The sequence below is a fragment of the Homo sapiens genome, chromosome 6, assembly GCF_000001405.40.
Source record: "Homo sapiens chromosome 6, GRCh38.p14 Primary Assembly".
Lineage (NCBI taxonomy): Eukaryota > Metazoa > Chordata > Mammalia > Primates > Hominidae > Homo > Homo sapiens.
In genome coordinates, this window is record NC_000006.12 from 108668354 (window position 1) to 108686695 (window position 18342).

At 43.5% G+C, this 18342-nt stretch overlaps 1 protein-coding gene across 15 annotated transcripts in view, besides 1 other annotated feature; it reads left to right on the forward strand.

Moving 5' to 3' along the window:
* FOXO3 (forkhead box O3) overlaps positions 1-16421 on the forward strand; it is a 124950-nt gene extending 108529 nt beyond the window's left edge. For all 15 annotated transcript variants that reach the window (NM_001415146.1, NM_001415140.1, NM_201559.3 and 12 more), the window contains one exon: positions 11474-16421. Coding sequence is in view for 1 of the 15 variants with exons in the window: in NM_001415150.1 (NP_001402079.1) it covers positions 11474-11560 (87 nt within the window). In the remaining 14 variants the exon portion in view is untranslated. The remainder of the gene's footprint in view (positions 1-11473) is intronic.
* Positions 5293-5587: a silencer, noted in NCBI's record as "tiled region #11560; HepG2 Repressive DNase matched - State 14:Gen5', and K562 Repressive non-DNase unmatched - State 19:H4K20". NCBI's record gives its function as "represses a minimal TATA promoter and a strong SV40 promoter by Sharpr-MPRA in HepG2 and K562 cells {active_cell/tissue: HepG2 | K562}" and the evidence as "EXISTENCE:reporter gene assay evidence [ECO:0000049][PMID:27701403]".
* Positions 16422-18342: the final 1921 nt, after the last annotated feature.

Genomic DNA, 18342 nt, shown 5'->3' on the forward strand with positions numbered 1-18342 from the left:
AATAGCCATACTTTTTTGGAGGGCTGGCTGCTGGGTCGTGAAGGGCACTGTGTTCTCTCAGGTGTTCATAAAGCTTGGTGCATGTGCTTACAGTTGGTGGCAGAGATGGTCATGAGCTGGTGTGGTGCTGCAAGCTCGAGCTTCCGGTAAGCCTTCTTGAGTTCGACATGTGTCCTCTCTGAGGGAAACCAGCTTCAGTCTCACCTTAATTTGATATCAAAGATGCCTGCATTCACAAACTTTCATTCATCTTCATCTTTTGACATTTGGAGACACCATTAGGGAGCAGCCCAATATTTAGTTTAAAGTACTTTACATAAAGACTGGGAAGCATCCACCAGCAAAAGCCCAGATGGAGAGGGGAGGGGTGGTTCACTTCTTGTCTCTGCCACATCACTCAATCTTGTAGAATATTAGGTTTCTCATTTGTCAAAAGAAGACAGCCTCATCAAGTTTTAAAGGTGCATAGTATGTATAATTTTAAACTTGAAGACCGGGCGCAGTGGCTCACGCTTGTAATCCCAGCACTTTGGGAGGCCGAGACGGGTGGATCATGAGGTCAGGAGATCGAGACGGTGAAACCCCGTCTCTACTAAAAATACAAAAAAATTAGCCGGGCGTGGTGGCGGGCGCCTGTAGTCCCAGCTACTCGGAGAGGCTGAGGCAGGAGAATGGCGTGAACCCAGGAGGCGGAGCTTGCAGTGAGCTGAGACTGCGCCACTGCACTGCAGCCTGGGTGACAGAGCAAGACTCCGTCTCAAAAAATAAAAAAAATAAAAACTAAATAAACTTGAACCCTAACATTTTGTCTGTGAAATGGACCTGGTGAAGTCTATGTTATGATACAGAGCTAGAAAGAAATAGTGGTGTACTAGTGTGGCATCAGCAGGCTGCAGTATTGGAAGCCATTTGGAATTTACGTGTAGGCTACTTCCCAAAAGGAGTAAATCTTTGATGCTTGTTTGACTGATGTTTGAATGCTGTGATTCTAGTATGTCTTTAAAATTTATGTTGGGGATAGGACTAATTCTAACCAAATACAGGTAATATAGACTGTATCGTGTTTTTTATTGATGTAGATATTTCTGTTTTAGGGAATGTAACATCTGATAAATATGAATCTGTTATGAATTACCTGGAGAATATATTCTGCTATTTGTACCTATGACTATAGTCTTCGGTTATAGTATGCTAGCCTGAAGAATTCTGCATCTTCAGGGATCTTTATTCTTACCTTTTAAAAAAAGCCGAAAGTCTGAACTGTCATTCAGGGAGAGAATGTTGGGATCTTTTTAGTGTCGATGAGCGCGAGAGAAAATTGATATGGCCATAAAAAGGGGTTTTCTTTGCAGAGGCTGGTACACTGGCTACATACGCTGTTTTTTCCTGGAAAGCAGTGACATTTAGCATGAAGGCTGCTCTTCCTGGGCCTGTTGGTTTTATAAAATGCACCTGTTTTCACCTCTGGCCAGCCTGCTAAGCATGGAGACAGAGCCTGAGTGGCTCCTCCTTCAAGCAGTTGTATTTATAAACAGCTTTCTGGAAGGTCTCTTCTGTCCAGAGAGCTCATGTAGAACACAAACAGGGTGAAAATCACCAGAATTACTATTTATAACTTAGAGTGTTCATAATGCTCAGCAGCATCTTGTAAACAACATTTTCTATCAGTAGAGTCTTCCCCCAGGGGCCACCTGTGCTTCTCACAGGCTTATCTTTCTATATGGAGATGGGAGAAGGGGGCTTTCTGGGATCCGCTTTGCCATTGCTGGAGAGATTGCCTCCTAGAGGTCCTCCTTGGTCTTGGGCCAAGTGGGAGAATGTTTGCTGACTGCTTTCTCTTCCCTGACTTGGAGACACATATTTACTGGACTTTCATCCCAAGATGGAGATTCTCCACCTTGCAGGAGACACCACCTGCTTCACCCTGGTTTTGTTGATGTGTTCATTGAATTTCAAAGTATTGCTTTCCCCAATCCTCCAAATTGTTTTGAAGTTTAAAGTTTCAGAAACTAAAATGAATTTAAAATGTGTTTTGCAAATTAGTATTTAGAGGTCCTGTAAGTCAATGTTTCTCAAAATGTTTCTCGGAATACTAGATCCTCAAGATAGTCATAGATCCTCAAGATAGTGAAATGGAAAATGGATTCTGTGGTCAAATAAGTTTAAGAAATACCATGTTAAACAAAGAGAAATTGCATTATTTCCAAGAGAACTTCTCAGAGCCTTAAAGGTTAATACACATTATGAACTTTTTAGGGTAGGATATGTTATGCAGTGTTTCCTAAATGTGTTTGATATCTTGAATCAAATCCTTTTTCTTCAAGAAACCATAGCACCAGTGTTCTAAGGAACCCCCTTAAGAAATGCTGTCCTAGAGTTTTGCTGAAAGGAGTCAGCACCCCCTTGGAGACAGGGCTTCTTTGCCCTTCTCCTCCCTTTCTTGCTGAGTTTTTTGTATGACCTTGTCATATATCTAGTGTTTCTCAGCCATATCCATGCATGGGCTAGCTGCCCGGCAAAGTGGTAGGCCCGTGTTGGTAGAAGTGCTCAAGAAAGGCCTGAAATCATTAAGCACAGTTCATCTGTTGAGTACCTGCTGGGCACAGGGGATAGAAGTGGGTAAAAAGGGTCCCTCCCTTAAAGAATGCGTGGCCTAGTGGAGAAAGTGGTGGCAGTGGCGATGACAGTTTGTCGTAGAGCCAAAGACTGCCTTCCTCACAAGGTTGGAGCAGAGGTGCATGTGGTGTGGCAGCCTGATGTGCCTGGTTTTCTGGGACACCCCTGCATTCAGGGGTTCTGTTCCATTATCACATGGTCTATTCCACAAAAACACAGACCCTAAGACTTGAGGAGCTCCATACTAACAGGTCAGAGTTCAGGCTGAATCCAGATGCTGGTTTCTTTTAAAAGCTCTGCAGAGCACTTTATGTTTGATTTCTAGAGCTGGTGAGTTCATCACGGTTGGACATGAGCCGCCCACTTCAGCACACTGTCCCTGGGGCTCAGCTCTGAGGGAGCTGTGGATTAAAAAAGCCTCCCCTGCAGCCCACTCCAAGTTAAGTGAGATCCTGTGGGATGGCAGAGGAGCTGTGGGACTTGCAGCAGAAGGCTGCCTTTTTCATGGCTGTGTGTCCTGCAGTCAAGTCCCTCATCTCTCAGTTTCAGTTTGCTTATTTATAAAATGAGGTTAAAATTAAAACTTGCCTCACAGAGCTCCTAGAAGGACTACCTCTGATATGGGCTAATGTCTTTTGACACCTTTTTAAACATGTTATTTAATGTTTATTGTGATTTAAAACAGCTCCAGAGGTTAATAGTGGAAGCCAGAAGCAGCCACGCCAGTCTTAAACTATGGGCAGAAAGAGTGACTGTTTTCCTCAGTGAACTAGATTCCCCTGGGTTTTTCATTAAAAAGGGATCACAGTTACCTGTTGGTGTGAGAACTTTTATTTCCAGAGTCAATGTCCCTTAGAAGTTCTGCCTGCCAGTTTGGGGGTGCTCATTAAAGGGGCTGTTAAACGAAACTAATGCTACAAATGGTGTTGAGGAGAGCTGTTTGTGGTATCCAAAGTGCTCCATTAGCATCTTTAAAGGATCGCCTGAGAAGTCCCAGCTGTCTGGCTTCAGCTCTGCTTAGCATGGGTACCCATCGGTGTCCACAGGGGCTAGCAGCAAGTCCTGCTGAAGGAGATGCCCCACCCTGCTCTTTTCAGCTGCCTTAGAGCCTCAAGCCTGAGCCTCTCCTGCTGTTGGGAGGAACCTGGCAATGCCATCTTTGTCTTCCCAATGCCGGTCATCCCAAGCCACTCAGAGAGATAAAGAGCCATTGCAGTCCCTCTTAGGGCTGTCTTGGAGCAGAAAGACTGGCACATGATAGCATGGTGTTGGCAGTAGTCTGGCCTTGGGTCTCCCCAGAGCTGGTGGTTTATCGCTTATTAGTTACTGTGATACAATTTGAGGTTCAGAAAAGACAGTCACTGTACCCTTAACATCTCTTCGAATTCTAAGTTGAGTGAAAACCCAGAAAAAAAATAGGCTGTTCTTCTCTAAGCGCTTCTAAATAAGCAGCAGCCAGGCCAGGGACTAAAATACATCGCCCTGTAGAGCCACTGGACACTGGGATGCAGGTCTTTTGTGTCTTTCCTGCTCAGTAATAGATGTGGACCTTAGTTTGTAATTTTAGGTCGGCTTTGTTTTTTAATAACCTATTTTTTGCTAAAATCCATGGCATTCGTTTATTAAAGAATAGTATCACTTAGTCACGAAGTCTCAGAGGGTAATTCCAGTGTTTCTGAAGGCTAAAACTGTAATTGACAGTCTTGGTTTGATTGAAGGTTTGGATGTCAGTACGTCTCCTCTCTCTCCCTCCCTCTCCCTCTCCCTGTCTCTTCCTCTCTCATCCTCTTTCTTCTTCTTTCTCTCCGTCTCCCTTCCCTCTTCTTTTCCTGCTTTGTCTCTGATGCAAGAAGTCTGAGCCATAAGGTTGTGGGATTTTTTTGTTTCCTTTTTTTTTAAATGTGTTTCTGTTTGTGTGGAGTGTTTGACTTGATTCTTCAGGGGAAATCAGTGACTAAGAAGAGAAGGCCAGAGGTAGAAGTCCAAGAATTCTGAGGTCGAAATTTTCAGTTAATTTCCAGTAGGCCTTCATTTCTGTATATGCCACTGTAATTAATTGGGGCTTTCATTGGTCATTTGTATGTTCAAAAAAGATCAGACAGCAATACCGCCCAACGTAGTTATAAGTAATCAGAAAGTGTCTTGACTGATAGACCTGTTGGAAGGTGACCCTAATGTTTACCTGAAAATGCTGCCTGCCCACCGAGTAACAAAAGCCAAAGCACTCCCTGCCCCACTCGTCAGGTTCTACTCAGACTGCCCTGCTGGCTGGAGTGGGGTGCCCCATGGGAGGCAGCCCCAGCCGGCACTTACACCAAGGTGCAGGTGCAGGCCAAGCTGTAAGAAGAGGGCCACCGGGGCCACACACGCAGATTCCCCTCACTACCGGAATCTGCACACCTGGCCAGGGCACTCCTTTGTCTCCCTCAGTTGTGGAGCCACCCTGGAGTTCCTCTCAGTTCCTCTGTGGCACTGGTGTGATGGTTGTTACATGGCCACCATCTGTGTCACCTGTGTGTCCTGGTCATACCTTACAGGTGGTTTGGACTATTTGTAGAACTCAACTAGCTGATTCTGTGTTTTCAGTTTCAGAATCACTTGGAAAAATTAGATTGTCTCTCAGAATCCTGTGTATCTAAAGCAGGAAAAGAGCGCTTTAGAGATCCTCCCTTCAGTATTTGGTAGCTAAACCCTGAGATGGACTGGCAATTACACCTGCATTTCCACCCACCCTCCAGGGATCTAGGGCATCCCAGCCTGCACACTCCTATCATTCATCCCTGCCCCGCCCCCCACATACACACACCCCAGTAAATGCAGTGAAGAGTCATACAGGATAGGGTCACACCCAGCAAACATAAACATTGTGATATGCAGGTCATGTTTGATGACTGAACATTTCCTCCTGTACTACAATTCCCTATTGTTTTTAAAAGGTGAATCACTTTATTGACAGCAGCTTGAAACTTAGAGTAGCAAGACTCTTAATTTGGGGGCTGGTGGTAAGGATATCTATGGTGGGATGTACAGAAAGGATAGGAGAAGATAAACCTTTTATTAAATACTTGAGAATTAGTTGAATGTTAAAATCGTGCCTTGTATTGATTTCATCTGTAAGAAATAGGAGTTTTAGAAATTGAATGATTGGAAACCATCCTTTTCACATAAAGTACTGCAAATCCTAGGTCATATCCCACCAGGCAGTAGGTTCTGCCTGGACTCAGACTAACTCTTGGCAAATATGAGTAGGTCATGGAAGCAGTTGCAATGAAAGGATGCTGAGTGTTTGAGTTGGCAAAGAGGAAGAGAGGGTTCTTCCAGGAGGATGGTTCTTTGATTGATTCAGCCAACATTTATAGTGCATCCATTTAGTACTTTCAACTTACCAGGTTCCTTGGGACATCAAGAAAACTGTTGTTTCTTTCACTGGAATATGTGCTGCACGAGGGAAGATACCAGACAGTGCTCTTAAAGTAGTAGGTGCTCCATAAGTGTTTGATTTGATTTGAAGACTTTGCTTAGCTTTCAAGGAGTTCAACATGTTAGGAGCTCAAAGTCCCTGAAAAAGTTGCCATTTCAGGCACATTATGATTAGATACTAGGTGAGTGACTTAAGAATTGAGTCAAGGATAGCGTAGGGAAGGTGGGGCTGCAGGAGCCATCTGAACATGTAGGTGATTTGCTGGGTGGTAAGAAGAGCCGTCCAGGCAAAGTGTCTTTGAACCTGACCCATCGGACAAGCGGAGGGTTTGTTCCCAGAAGCAGTAGTGGGCCTTAAAGCATGGATGAGGACAGTGGAACCTGATCCCACAGGCCTTTACCAGCTAAGGGTTTTGGATATTATAATAAAGTTAAATAACCATGAATTCAGAGAGGATCCAGACACCCTTTAAAGGCTTTTTGCCTAAAAACTGGGCCTTTAAAAAGAACATAATCTAAAAGTGTACATACTATTATACGTGGTTTGCAAATCTGAGAATCTTAAGAAAATACTAAATCTCTGCAACTTTGCTATTGACAGTAAATCAATACCTGTCATATTTCTGCCACATTAGTATTCATAGTCGACTCTGGATATGTGAAAAATATTGGTTAACATAATCCCTGCCTCAACATAAAGTCAGAGATAGGGATTTATCTGTCCCTATCTCTGATAGGGATAGATCAGATAGTTTAAGATAGGGCATTCTTAAACTTATTTTAGCCATTAATAATCGCTAAATTTAAGCAACAGAAAAGCTGGTGCCTCCCAGCAGGTGGCCCCCAGCCCTTTGTCCCTCAGCTATGAAGTATGAGGATGGCTACCTCTCTCCCTGTGTCTCCCTTGGGTTTTATCAGCACAGCACAAAGGCTGGCTGGAAGGGCAGTCCACTCCAGGTCTAGGCTCTGAGGTGTCCTGGAGGCGAAGACTCTGGAGGACCTTGTCACCAGCCTTCCCAGACTGGTTCACCTGCTGCCTTGACCAAGCCCAGGAATTACTGGGAGGCAGTGCAAGGCAGCCTTTACACAAGTCAAGCTTGTGTTTTACACCCTGTCTTCCTGGAGTCCATGTGAGACTTCCTTGTCAGATTGCATTAATATCAATTCCTTATCTCTCCTAAGTGTTCCATATTTAGTCCCCAGCTTGCTCTAGGGGTTGAAAGTTTGGCTAAAATTATCTTTCTTTTTAAAGAGTGAGGAAAGTGGTGTTTCACTTTATTTTTGCTTGTGGGGCAAACTTTCCTCAAATCATCTAGTTCTGTCTAACTAGGAAAACAGTTGATAACCTTCATGGATTTGTGAATGTGAAGGTTTCAACTTATGATCTCTTTTTCCTTCCATGTCCTATTTAGTATTAGGGTCCTGTTCTGTTCTTCTCTGCCCAGAAGATAAAAACACTACTGAAAAATGTTTCACAGTGGATTAAGTTGTGGGAGGACAGCAGTAGGAACATTTATGTTTTATTCCCAGATTAAAGTTGATTGGGGTTGTTATGTTTTGTGTAGTTTTTGGAGGCATTTCCCTTTCTTAGAGTATCATGTGATTTATGGTGATAATTAGGCAGAAACTTGTCTTCCCTACAGATGCCAAGATTATAGAGGGACTTGCTCTCACCAGAGACCAGATGACAGCATCCGTAGATATTTTTAGAATGGACCTCATCATTTATTTGGTCTCCCCATTTCATTTTCTTTGTATCAGCAATTGATTTCAAACTTGTTTATTGGGCAGGGAGGGGAGAGAGGGCGTCTTCCCTTATTAATGAAAGTCACTGATGGGACAGAACAGCATCTTTGTATTTATTGTTAATTGGCATATTGCCTAGTACTTGCAGAGTAAACTACAATTCCATCAGCTGTAGCTTCATTTTCTTTTCAAAAGTTTTGCTTAATCTGATGTGTTTTCTTACAGCATTTTAAAATTTTATTTATTTATTTTGAGACCGGGTTATGAGACTAGTTTTTGTATTTTTGGTAGGGACGGGGTTTTGCCATGTTGCCCAGGGTGGTCTCCAACTCCTGGTCTCAAGGGACCGCCCCCCTCAGCCTCCCAAAGTGCTGAGACTACAGGCATGAGCCGCCATGCCTGGCCCCTTAATCCGATGTGTTTTTAAACTAGAAGAGCATCGACACATACACATAAATCTCACGGTTAACTAAATAACCGTATAACTAAAATGTCATACTTTAAACTATTTAAGAATGACATGAGCTTTCTTAAAACCCATGAAACTTGTACCCAAGCTAAGTATCATTGACTTTCCCAGCTCAGTAGCTGGGTTTCATCACTTAATATGCTCCCTCTACTCTTTCTGTCCTTGATTGAATCAGATAAGCATGTACAAACATTGAGCCACAGGAGAGCCATTAAAAATCTAAGACAGATGAGCTGCTGCTTTCCTTTTGATTATTTTTATTACCCCAGTTTTCATTGTAAATGGTGATTCTGGTGTTCCTCTGAGAAGGTTAATTGTATTTCTGTTCAACATTTATCTTCTATATTTTCAGTGTTTTACAATCTGTTTTCCTTCTGTCACAGAGGAAACCAAAGGCCTTTCTGTTCTCTGGAGTGGGAGTTTCTGTATTAAATTTGTCCTCTGCAAGAGTTGCCTCTATACCTGGGCCAAATCCTCTACCAATTCAGCCTATAAGCACCAAGGTGGTTTCCTGAGCAGGCCTCCCTGGGAGGGCATTGCCTGGGGGACCTCAGCGGAAGCTGTAGAACATAGCTTCACAGGTGACCCCAACCCCAATCTGCAGAAAGGGAAAGTGGTGATTCACACATCTCGTTTTTAATAATGGAGTTCTCTGAAGATTGGGGCCTTTTGATGAAGGAATGGATATTAAGCCTGGGGACTGTGGTTGGTTAGTGCTTTAGACTGTCCCACATGGGCCTCCTACTCCTGGCTTTGGGGTGATGGCCTGTTCTGCTCAAAATTGTGCTCTGTTAGGGGCTCATGGGTGTCCTCTGTCCTCTTTCCTGCTGTGTTGGCCCAGCCCACATTGGAGCAAGCCACACTCCCTGTCTCTGTACTTGGGGAATGAAGTGTGTCACCTTCCCATTATGCACTGGCTTCTGTGGCTGCATAATTAATACCCAAGGGAACTGGAGAGAGATCTGAATTAGGTAGTACTTTACAGCTTCTCCCTCGGCGCTTACAGTAAGTCAGGATGGGGACTTGGGGATGGGAGTCCCCTGATGACTGATCACATAGTGATGTTGGATGGTGGTTTATTAAGTGTTATTGTGAGGGGAAAAAACCAAATCCTCTTCCAGAGGACTGTGCCTGTGAAACGCTATCTAATCATTCATACTTTGCAGGGCAAGGTAGAGTAGTTAGAATAGCACTGACTTTAGCAAGCTACGGTCTTCACAGATGCTGAGATCTAGTATTTACTTCAGCTTTTACTCCCTCTAGAATCAACAAGCCATTATTTTATAGTCCAAGGTAATATTATCTAGTAGCTTTACAAAGCAAAGAATGCCCCAAAAAACCATCAGCCAGGGAAACTAAAACCTAGGGATAGACAGGAAGAAGAAAGAGGCTTCTTTTTATACTTTATTGTCCCTACCTCCAGTAAAACAACCTAAATTCTTCAATTTGGAGCTTTAACAAGGATAAGTAAATATGACCATGGGCATGTAACATTGTAAATACTAAGTCCTGCTGTGTTTGCAAACATTGAGAGTGAAAGGTAAGATTGCCAGCAAGTGCAGAGTCACAGAAGAGATTGAAGTTACAGTACACTCATGAGAATTCCTGATGACCCTACGGTACAACCTCTAAAGGTGGGAGAAGCAGATGTATATAATGTGATTTTGTGTGTGAGTTTTTTGATGCTTTTTTCATTACTTATTTACCTTGTCTGGAGAGAAAAGCACGAGTTCATGTTGTTTCACTACCACTTTTCTATCCATTTCTTGGCCTAGAGCCGTTTCTTTACTACCATAACTGCCAACACTATCTCCATAAACAAAGAATCTTATGTCTGGAGGTCTGTCATGTCACGTCCTTTTGCTATTAAGACAGCTCTATGAATATACTTTTTTTTTTTTTTTTAATCCCTTAACTTTTCTGGGCCCAGTGGTCACATGACATCTGATAAGACTTGTATAAATTCAGATGCTCTAAGAGCACCTTTTTTGTGCCTTTCCATTGAAGACAAAATAATAATTGGAGGCAGAATAATAATAATGTTGTTGATTGTTAATGGGGTGTTTTATGGGGGATTTCTTGTCCATATATGTGTTATGTAATTTTTTTTCTCCAAATTTGTAATACAAAAATCAAATTCCTAAGCCAGGTGCATTGGCGTGCCTGTAGTCCTAGCTACTCAGGAGGCTGAGACGGAAGGATCTCTTGAGCCCAGGAGTTCAAGTCCAGCCTGGGCAACATAGCAAGACCCCATTTCTTAAATTCTTTTTTTTTTTTTTTTTTTTTTGAGACGGAGTCTCGCTGTCGCTCAGGCTGGAGTGCAGTGGTGCGATCTTGGCTCACTGCAAGCTCTGCCTCTCAGGTTCACGCCATTCTCCTGCCTCAGCCTCCCGAGTAGCTGGGACTACAGGTGCCCGCCACCGCGCCCGGCTAATTTTTTGTATTTTTAGTAGAGACGGGGTTTCACCATGTTAGCCAGGATGGTCTCGATCTCCTGACCTCGTGATCTGCCCTCCTCAGCCTTCGAAAGTGCTGGGATTACAGGCGTGAGCCACTGCGCCCGGCCCATTTCTTAAATTCTTAAGATGGCCCGCTTAGTAATTACTTACTCTTTTTATGGTGGGGAATAGGGGAGTCAAGATTACCCACACCCAGCACTGCAGACTTATTAAGGCCTTTATAGAAAGTGGCCATTTCATCTCCACTGGTGTTGGGGTATTCGTGGAAAAGGGTGGTAAGCAATTCAGTTAGTCCACATAGCCAGTAGGGAAGAACCAGAAAAGTATAACTCATCTACTTAGGATGAGCGGCTCTCCTTGTTTTAGCATGGAAAGTCCCATGTCCTAGGAAATCCCTCAGTCCGGAAGTCTAGAACAGAATCTTATCTGCACCTTGAACATCTAACTAAAAAGGACCCACCAAAACACCCCTAATATGGCTTTCTTTATCTCCCAAAGTGAATGATCCCATTCCCTTTGGGCTTTTCAACTTCAGAGCATTTTGTAATAAGGACAACATGAGAAATAAGGTAAGTAATCTTTGTGCTTTGTCCTTAGGATTTCAGACCTTTGAAACTGGTGTAGCAGAGCAGCTTTGCTGTGCTAGCCCTGGGCTCTGAGGTGGGTGAGGGAGATGGAAGGCCTTGACAGGTGGCCCTCAGGTGCCCACTATTGCTGTTGCAGTGCCCTTAATGATCTCTGGTTTTCTTTTCTCCTCCTTTAGACCCTCAAACTGACACAAGACCTACAGAGAAAACCCTTTGCCAAATCTGCTCTCAGCAAGTGGACAGTGATACCGTTTACAGCTTAACACCTTTGTGAATCCCACGCCATTTTCCTAACCCAGCAGAGACTGTTAATGGCCCCTTACCCTGGGTGAAGCACTTACCCTTGGAACAGAACTCTAAAAAGTATGCAAAATCTTCCTTGTACAGGGTGGTGAGCCGCCTGCCAGTGGAGGACAGCACCCCTCAGCACCACCCACCCTCATTCAGAGCACACCGTGAGCCCCCGTCGGCCATTCTGTGGTGTTTTAATATTGCGATGGTTTATGGGACGTTTTAAGTGTTGTTCTTGTGTTTGTTTTCCTTTGACTTTCTGAGTTTTTCACATGCATTAACTTGCGGTATTTTTCTGTTAAAATGTTAACCGTCCTTCCCCTAGCAAATTTAAAAACAGAAAGAAAATGTTGTACCAGTTACCATTCCGGGTTCGAGCATCACAAGCTTTTGAGCGCATGGAACTCCATAAACTAACAAATTACATAAACTAAAGGGGGATTTTCTTTCTTCTTTTGTTTGGTAGAAAATTATCCTTTTCTAAAAACTGAACAATGGCACAATTGTTTGCTATGTGCACCCGTCCAGGACAGAACCGTGCATAGGCAAAAGGAGTGGAGCACAGCGTCCGGCCCAGTGTGTTTCCGGTTCTGAGTCAGGGTGATCTGTGGACGGGACCCCAGCACCAAGTCTACGGGTGCCAGATCAGTAGGGCCTGTGATTTCCTGTCAGTGTCCTCAGCTAATGTGAACAGTGTTGGTCTGCTGGTTAGAAACTAGAATATTGATATTTTCAGGAAAGAAATCAGCTCAGCTCTCCACTCATTGCCAAATGTCACTAAAGGGTTTAGTTTTAAGGAGAAAGAAAAGGAAAAAAAAAAAAAACAAAAAAGTCCTGTTTTGCTTTGCAGAACAAATGAACTTACAGGTGAGCATTAAGCTTGCAGTGAGAAATGTGCGAAGAGTAAAAACCCAAGTCAATGCTGAGGCAGTTCTAACTTCACTGTTTTCCTAAATACACATCCTTGATTATTTTCAGCCTTGCTATATAATCTGATCTGCTAGAAGTGTATGAGTGAGAGGCAATAGCATACAAACTGATTTTTTAAATATAAGCTTAGGTTGTAATTGTACAAGTGACTCAATGGAAGTACAAAATAGGGCAGTTTTAACTTTTTTTTCTGCTTCTATGGATTTCATTTTGTTGTGTTTTCAAAAAGTTATGGTGCTGTATAGGTGCTTTCTGTTTAACCTGGAAAGTGTGATTATATTCGTTACCTTCTTTGGTAGACGGAATAGTTGGGACCACCTTTGGTACATAAGAAATTGGTATAACGATGCTCTGATTAGCACAGTATATGCATACTTCTCCAAAGTGATATATGAAGACTCTTTTCTTTGCATAAAAAGCATTAGGCATATAAATGTATAAATATATTTTATCATGTACAGTACAAAAATGGAACCTTATGCATGGGCCTTAGGAATACAGGCTAGTATTTCAGCACAGACTTCCCTGCTTGAGTTCTTGCTGATGCTTGCACCGTGACAGTGGGCACCAACACAGACGTGCCACCCAACCCCCTGCACACACCACCGGCCACCAGGGGCCCCCTTGTGCGCCTTGGCTTTATAACTCCTCTGGGGGTGATATTGGTGGTGATCACAGCTCCTAGCATAATGAGAGTTCCATTTGGTATTGTCACACGTCTCCTGCCTCGCTTGGGTTGCCATGTTTGAGCGATGGCCCTGTTGATTTCACCCTGCCTTTTACTGAATCTGTAAATTGTTGTGCAATTGTGGTTATAGTAGACTGTAGCACATTGCCTTTTCTAAACTGCTACATGTTTATAATCTTCATTTTTAAAGTATGTGTAATTTTTTTAAGTATGTATTCTATTCATATGGTCTGCTTGTCAGTGAGCCAGACTTGCTTACTATATTCCTTTATAATAATGCTAGCCACTTCCTGGATTCTTTAGTAATGTGCTGTATGCAAGAACTTTCCAGTAGCAGTGAAGGAGGGTTGCCTCTCCAAGCTTCCTAAGGGATGCTGCCCTGTGTGGGGATGCATTGCAGAGGCACTAGTAGCATGGGGGCTAGAGTGGGGAGCGAGATGTAAAAGGGTGGGGGGATAGGAGAATTCCAGAGTGCTTCCAGCATTAGGGTCCTGAGAACTTCTGAGTTCAGAGAAACATGCAAAGTGACTAACAAAATAGCTACTTACCTTTGCAGTTTTACAGACCCTGGGAGCTGCTTTGGGAGTGAGAAAGGCAACCCTCCAATGTGTTTCAACTTTAAAATGTTGAATTCTTTTCAGACATGGTATCTCATTTATTCTCCTTTTCTAGCGTTTGTTGAATTTCAGGCAGAATGTCTTACAGAATGTCCTAGAACCAGATTATCATTTAATCTGAAACAGCTGAGGAAGGGACAGAGAAGGTACAAGGGCAAGGCAGCACAAAACAGATCAGGAGAATGAAGAGGGAATGCTTTGGTTTTTTGTTTTGTTTTGTTTTTTCTTTTTCAAGTAACTAAAACAGCATCTACATGTAGAGTGTTGTGGAGAGCTGAGACCAGGGTAAAGTCAAGTGCAGCATCAGTACTGCGAGACCCACCAGCCCCTGGAGAGGGTCAGCCGAGAATCTGGTAGTGAAGCCTGTCTAGGGTCCCGGCACCCTCACCCTCAGCCACCTGCAGAGAGGCCAGGGCCCCAGAGACTAGCCTGGTTCTGAAGTGGGCAGGGGTGCTGCCAGAGCCCTCTGCCCCTTATGTTGAGACCCTGCTTTCAGGACAGGCCAGCCGTTGGCCACCATGTCACATTCTGAGTGAGTGTCACAGGTCCCTAACAATAATTTTCTGATCTGGAGCATATCAGCAGAATGCTTAGCCTCAAGGGGCCTGGCAGCTGTAATGTTTGATTTATGATGAGAACTATCCGAGGCCACCCTTGGCCTCTAAATAAGCTGCTCTAGGGAGCCGCCTACTTTTTGATGAGAAATTAGAAGAGTACCTAATGTTGAAAACATGACATGCGCTCTTGGGATCTGCTGTTCTCTCCAGGGCTCCAGAACCTGATACCTGTTACCAAAGCTAGGAAAGAGCTTTATCACAAGCCTTCACTGTCCTGGCATGAGAACTGGCTGCCAGGCTCAGTGTACCCCATTAACTGTGAATGAATCTGAGCTTGGTTTCCTTTATTGCTTCCTCTGCAATATGATTGCTGAAACACATTTTAAAAATTCAGAAGCTTGTCACTCCTGTTAATGGGAGGATCAGTCACACATGTGTAGTACAAGGCGGACTTTGTGTTTGTTTTTGGTGTTAATTTTTAGCATTGTGTGTGTTGCTTCCCCACCCTGAGGAGAGGACACCATGGCTTACTACTCAGGACAAGTATGCCCCGCTCAGGGTGTGATTTCAGGTGGCTTCCAAACTTGTACGCAGTTTAAAGATGGTGGGGACAGACTTTGCCTCTACCTAGTGAACCCCACTTAAAGAATAAGGAGCATTTGAATCTCTTGGAAAAGGCCATGAAGAATAAAGCAGTCAAAAAGAAGTCCTCCATGTTGGTGCCAAGGACTTGCGAGGGGAAATAAAAATGTTATCCAGCCTGACCAACATGGAGAAACCCCGTCTCCATTAAAAATACAAAATTAGCCTGGCATGGTGGCGCATGCCTGTAATCCCAGCTACTCTGGAGGCTGAGGCAGGAGAATCGCTTGAACCCAGGAGGCGGAGGTCGCAGTGAGCCGAGATCATGCCAGTGCACTCCAGCCTGGGTAACAAGAGTGAAACTCCGTGTCAAAAAAAAAAAAAAAATGTTACTCATCCTCTCTGAAAGCAAAAAGGAAACCCTAACAGCTCTGAACTCTGGTTTTATTTTTCTTGCTGTATTTGGGTGAACATTGTATGATTAGGCATAATGTTAAAAAAAAAAATTTTTTTTTGGTAGAAATGCAATCACCAGTAAAGAGGTACGAAAAAGCTAGCCTCTCTCAGAGACCGGGGAGGCAGAGTACTACTAGAGGAAGTGAAGTTCTGATGGAATCATGCCTGTCAAATGAGGTCTTGAAGCGGATGCCCAAATAAAAGAGTATATTTTATCTAAATCTTAAGTGGGTAACATTTTATGCAGTTTAAATGAATGGAATATTTTCCTCTTGTTTAGTTGTATCTGTTTGTATTTTTCTTTGATGAATGATTGGTCATGAGGCCTCTTGCCACACTCCAGAAATACGTGTGCGGCTGCTTTTAAGAACTATGTGTCTGGTCACTTATTTCTCTAAAATTATCTCATTGCCTGGCAATCAGTCTTCTCTTGTATACTTGTCCTAGCACATTATGTACATGGGAAATGTAAACAAATGTGAAGGAGGACCAGAAAAATTAGTTAATATTTAAAAAAATGTATTGTGCATTTTGGCTTCACATGTTTAACTTTTTTTAAGAAAAAAGTTGCATGAATGGAAAAAAAAATCTGTATACAGTATCTGTAAAAACTATCTTATCTGTTTCAATTCCTTGCTCATATCCCATATAATCTAGAACTAAATATGGTGTGTGGCCATATTTAAACACCTGAGAGTCAAGCAGTTGAGACTTTGATTTGAAGCACCTCATCCTTCTTTCAATGCGAACACTATCATATGGCATTCTTACTGAGGATTTTGTCTAACCATATGTTGCCATGAATTAACTCTGCCGCCTTTCTTAAGGATCAAAACCAGTTTGATTTGGGAATCTTCCCCTTTCCAAATGAAATAGAGATGCAGTACTTAACTTTCCTTGGTGTTTGTAGATATTGCCTTGTGTATTCCACTTAAAACCGTAATCTAGTTTGTAAAAGAGATGGTGACGCATGTAAATAAAGCATCAGTGACACTCTATCTTACTCCAAGAAGTCTCTTTGTTCTCCCTCCCCCTTTCTTGAACCCTAGGAATAAAATGGCAGTTTCTCTCAAGGTCTTCCTGTGGAATTCCCCCACAGGCTGGGAGAGCCACAAAGCTGAGAGACTCTTATCACAAAATCTTTAAATGAACCTAGTAAACGTTTTCTCTGGCCCGCTTCTGACCTCCACAGACAACAGACAACTTAATAAAGGAAGATTTATGGCATAGTTCATGGTGGCTGATAGCCACTTTTGGTGTGTTCTGAGTCATGTTGCCCAGGGAGCTTTGAATAAGTGGGGAGTTGGGACTTAGAGACGGCCCTCACTGAGCGTCTGAGGTTTTAACTTGTCGGTTGCTTGACCTGGATGAGGTCTTCCTCACCTGAGTCCAACACATGAACGTTGGTTGGCAACAGTGCCCTCCTGCCCGACCTGCATACTGAAAGTCAGACATGACACTTCAGGCTTCTGGTGGCAACAGCGTAAACATTTCCTCTGTGTGTACCTTTAGGGCCTCCTCAGTTAAGTGAGAGGGAACTCCACCTGTTGTAAAACTATTCTTAGTAGTCTGGATTGTGTTTTTTCATTTTAATAGCCATATAAAATTATTCAGATGATTCAGAATAAGCAGGATCTATTTTAAGGTCCCACATGATAGGTTCTTACTTCAGATCAAGGAGGTGAAAGGTTTTAAAGTTGGGAATTTGGGATAAATTCTGTATTGGTGGTGTGTAAGTTTTTCTTCACCATTGTTTTAATTACTTACAAAGGTAAAACTTCACCGTCTCCTAATGCCAAAGCCTACTGGGGATGGGTATTTCACTTGAGATTACTTCCCAATTTTTATTCTGTCTTCCAGAGGATTAAAGATGGAACTCTAATACCAGTTATGACAAGATTCTTAGTAGAGAGTTCTCCACAACCAGGTAAAAATGCAACCAAAAACTAGTAAGTTAATTTAATGATCGACAGTTACGAAGCCAACCTCCAGTGTGGCAGTGGGCTAGCCTTTGTGATGGGCGGGCACCAGGAGAACGAGGATCTGTGCCTGCCCCGTAAGGGTATGTGGTCTAGGAGTGATCTGTCTACTCCACCTGGAGGGATAAAGGGCCAGCTGCTTACTCTCCTGCTTCAGCTTCTTGTTTAAAAGAGGAAGAGTTTGGACTAGTTAATCTCAAACATATGAGGGATTTGATTTTGCAGTTTATTCAATAATGAGGGCAAAGCTTTAGGCCGGCAGATGTTACTTTGATGTGTATCAGCCAAGTCACCCATACCACAGCTGGGATATAGGGGTCCCAGGCAGAGAATTCATAGCCACCATTCTGCCAGACACTGGCACACACACACCCACAGCACCCACAACCCCAACCCTGAGACATGGGAAGTAGACGGCTGTGGGTTGGTGGTGGGGTGCAGTCTGCGGTGCCCTGAGCTGCTTGCAGCCCTGTGGTGGGAGCCAGCAGGGGAGAGTATTTGAGGGGTGGAAGTGAGAGAGAGGCACTCAGAAAAGGGGCCCACTCCAGCTCTGCTTTCCTCTCCATCAAAGAAAAGCAGTGGCGCTGGGCCCAGAGGAACAGACACATTTGGAGCAGGAGGAAGAGTCCTTTCCCCCGGATTTTCCTAATTCAAAAGCCGAAAGAGGAAGACTGTCAGCAATGTTTAAGACTGGAAGAAAATTAGATTATGTGTGTGCACGCATGTGTGTGTGTAGTTCTGCCTACCAACCATCACATAGTAATGGCTCAGAACTGTTGGGGTTTGCCTACCTTCTCTGAGGACTTGCTAGAAACACATGACAAACATCTCCACTCACACTTTGGGAGGAGAAATCCCAATGCCCTGCTAGTATTGGCACAGGATCTCTTCTGTGCATCCTATGATCATTCCTCCACCAGCACTCGTGTGTGCCAGGCGCTGTGC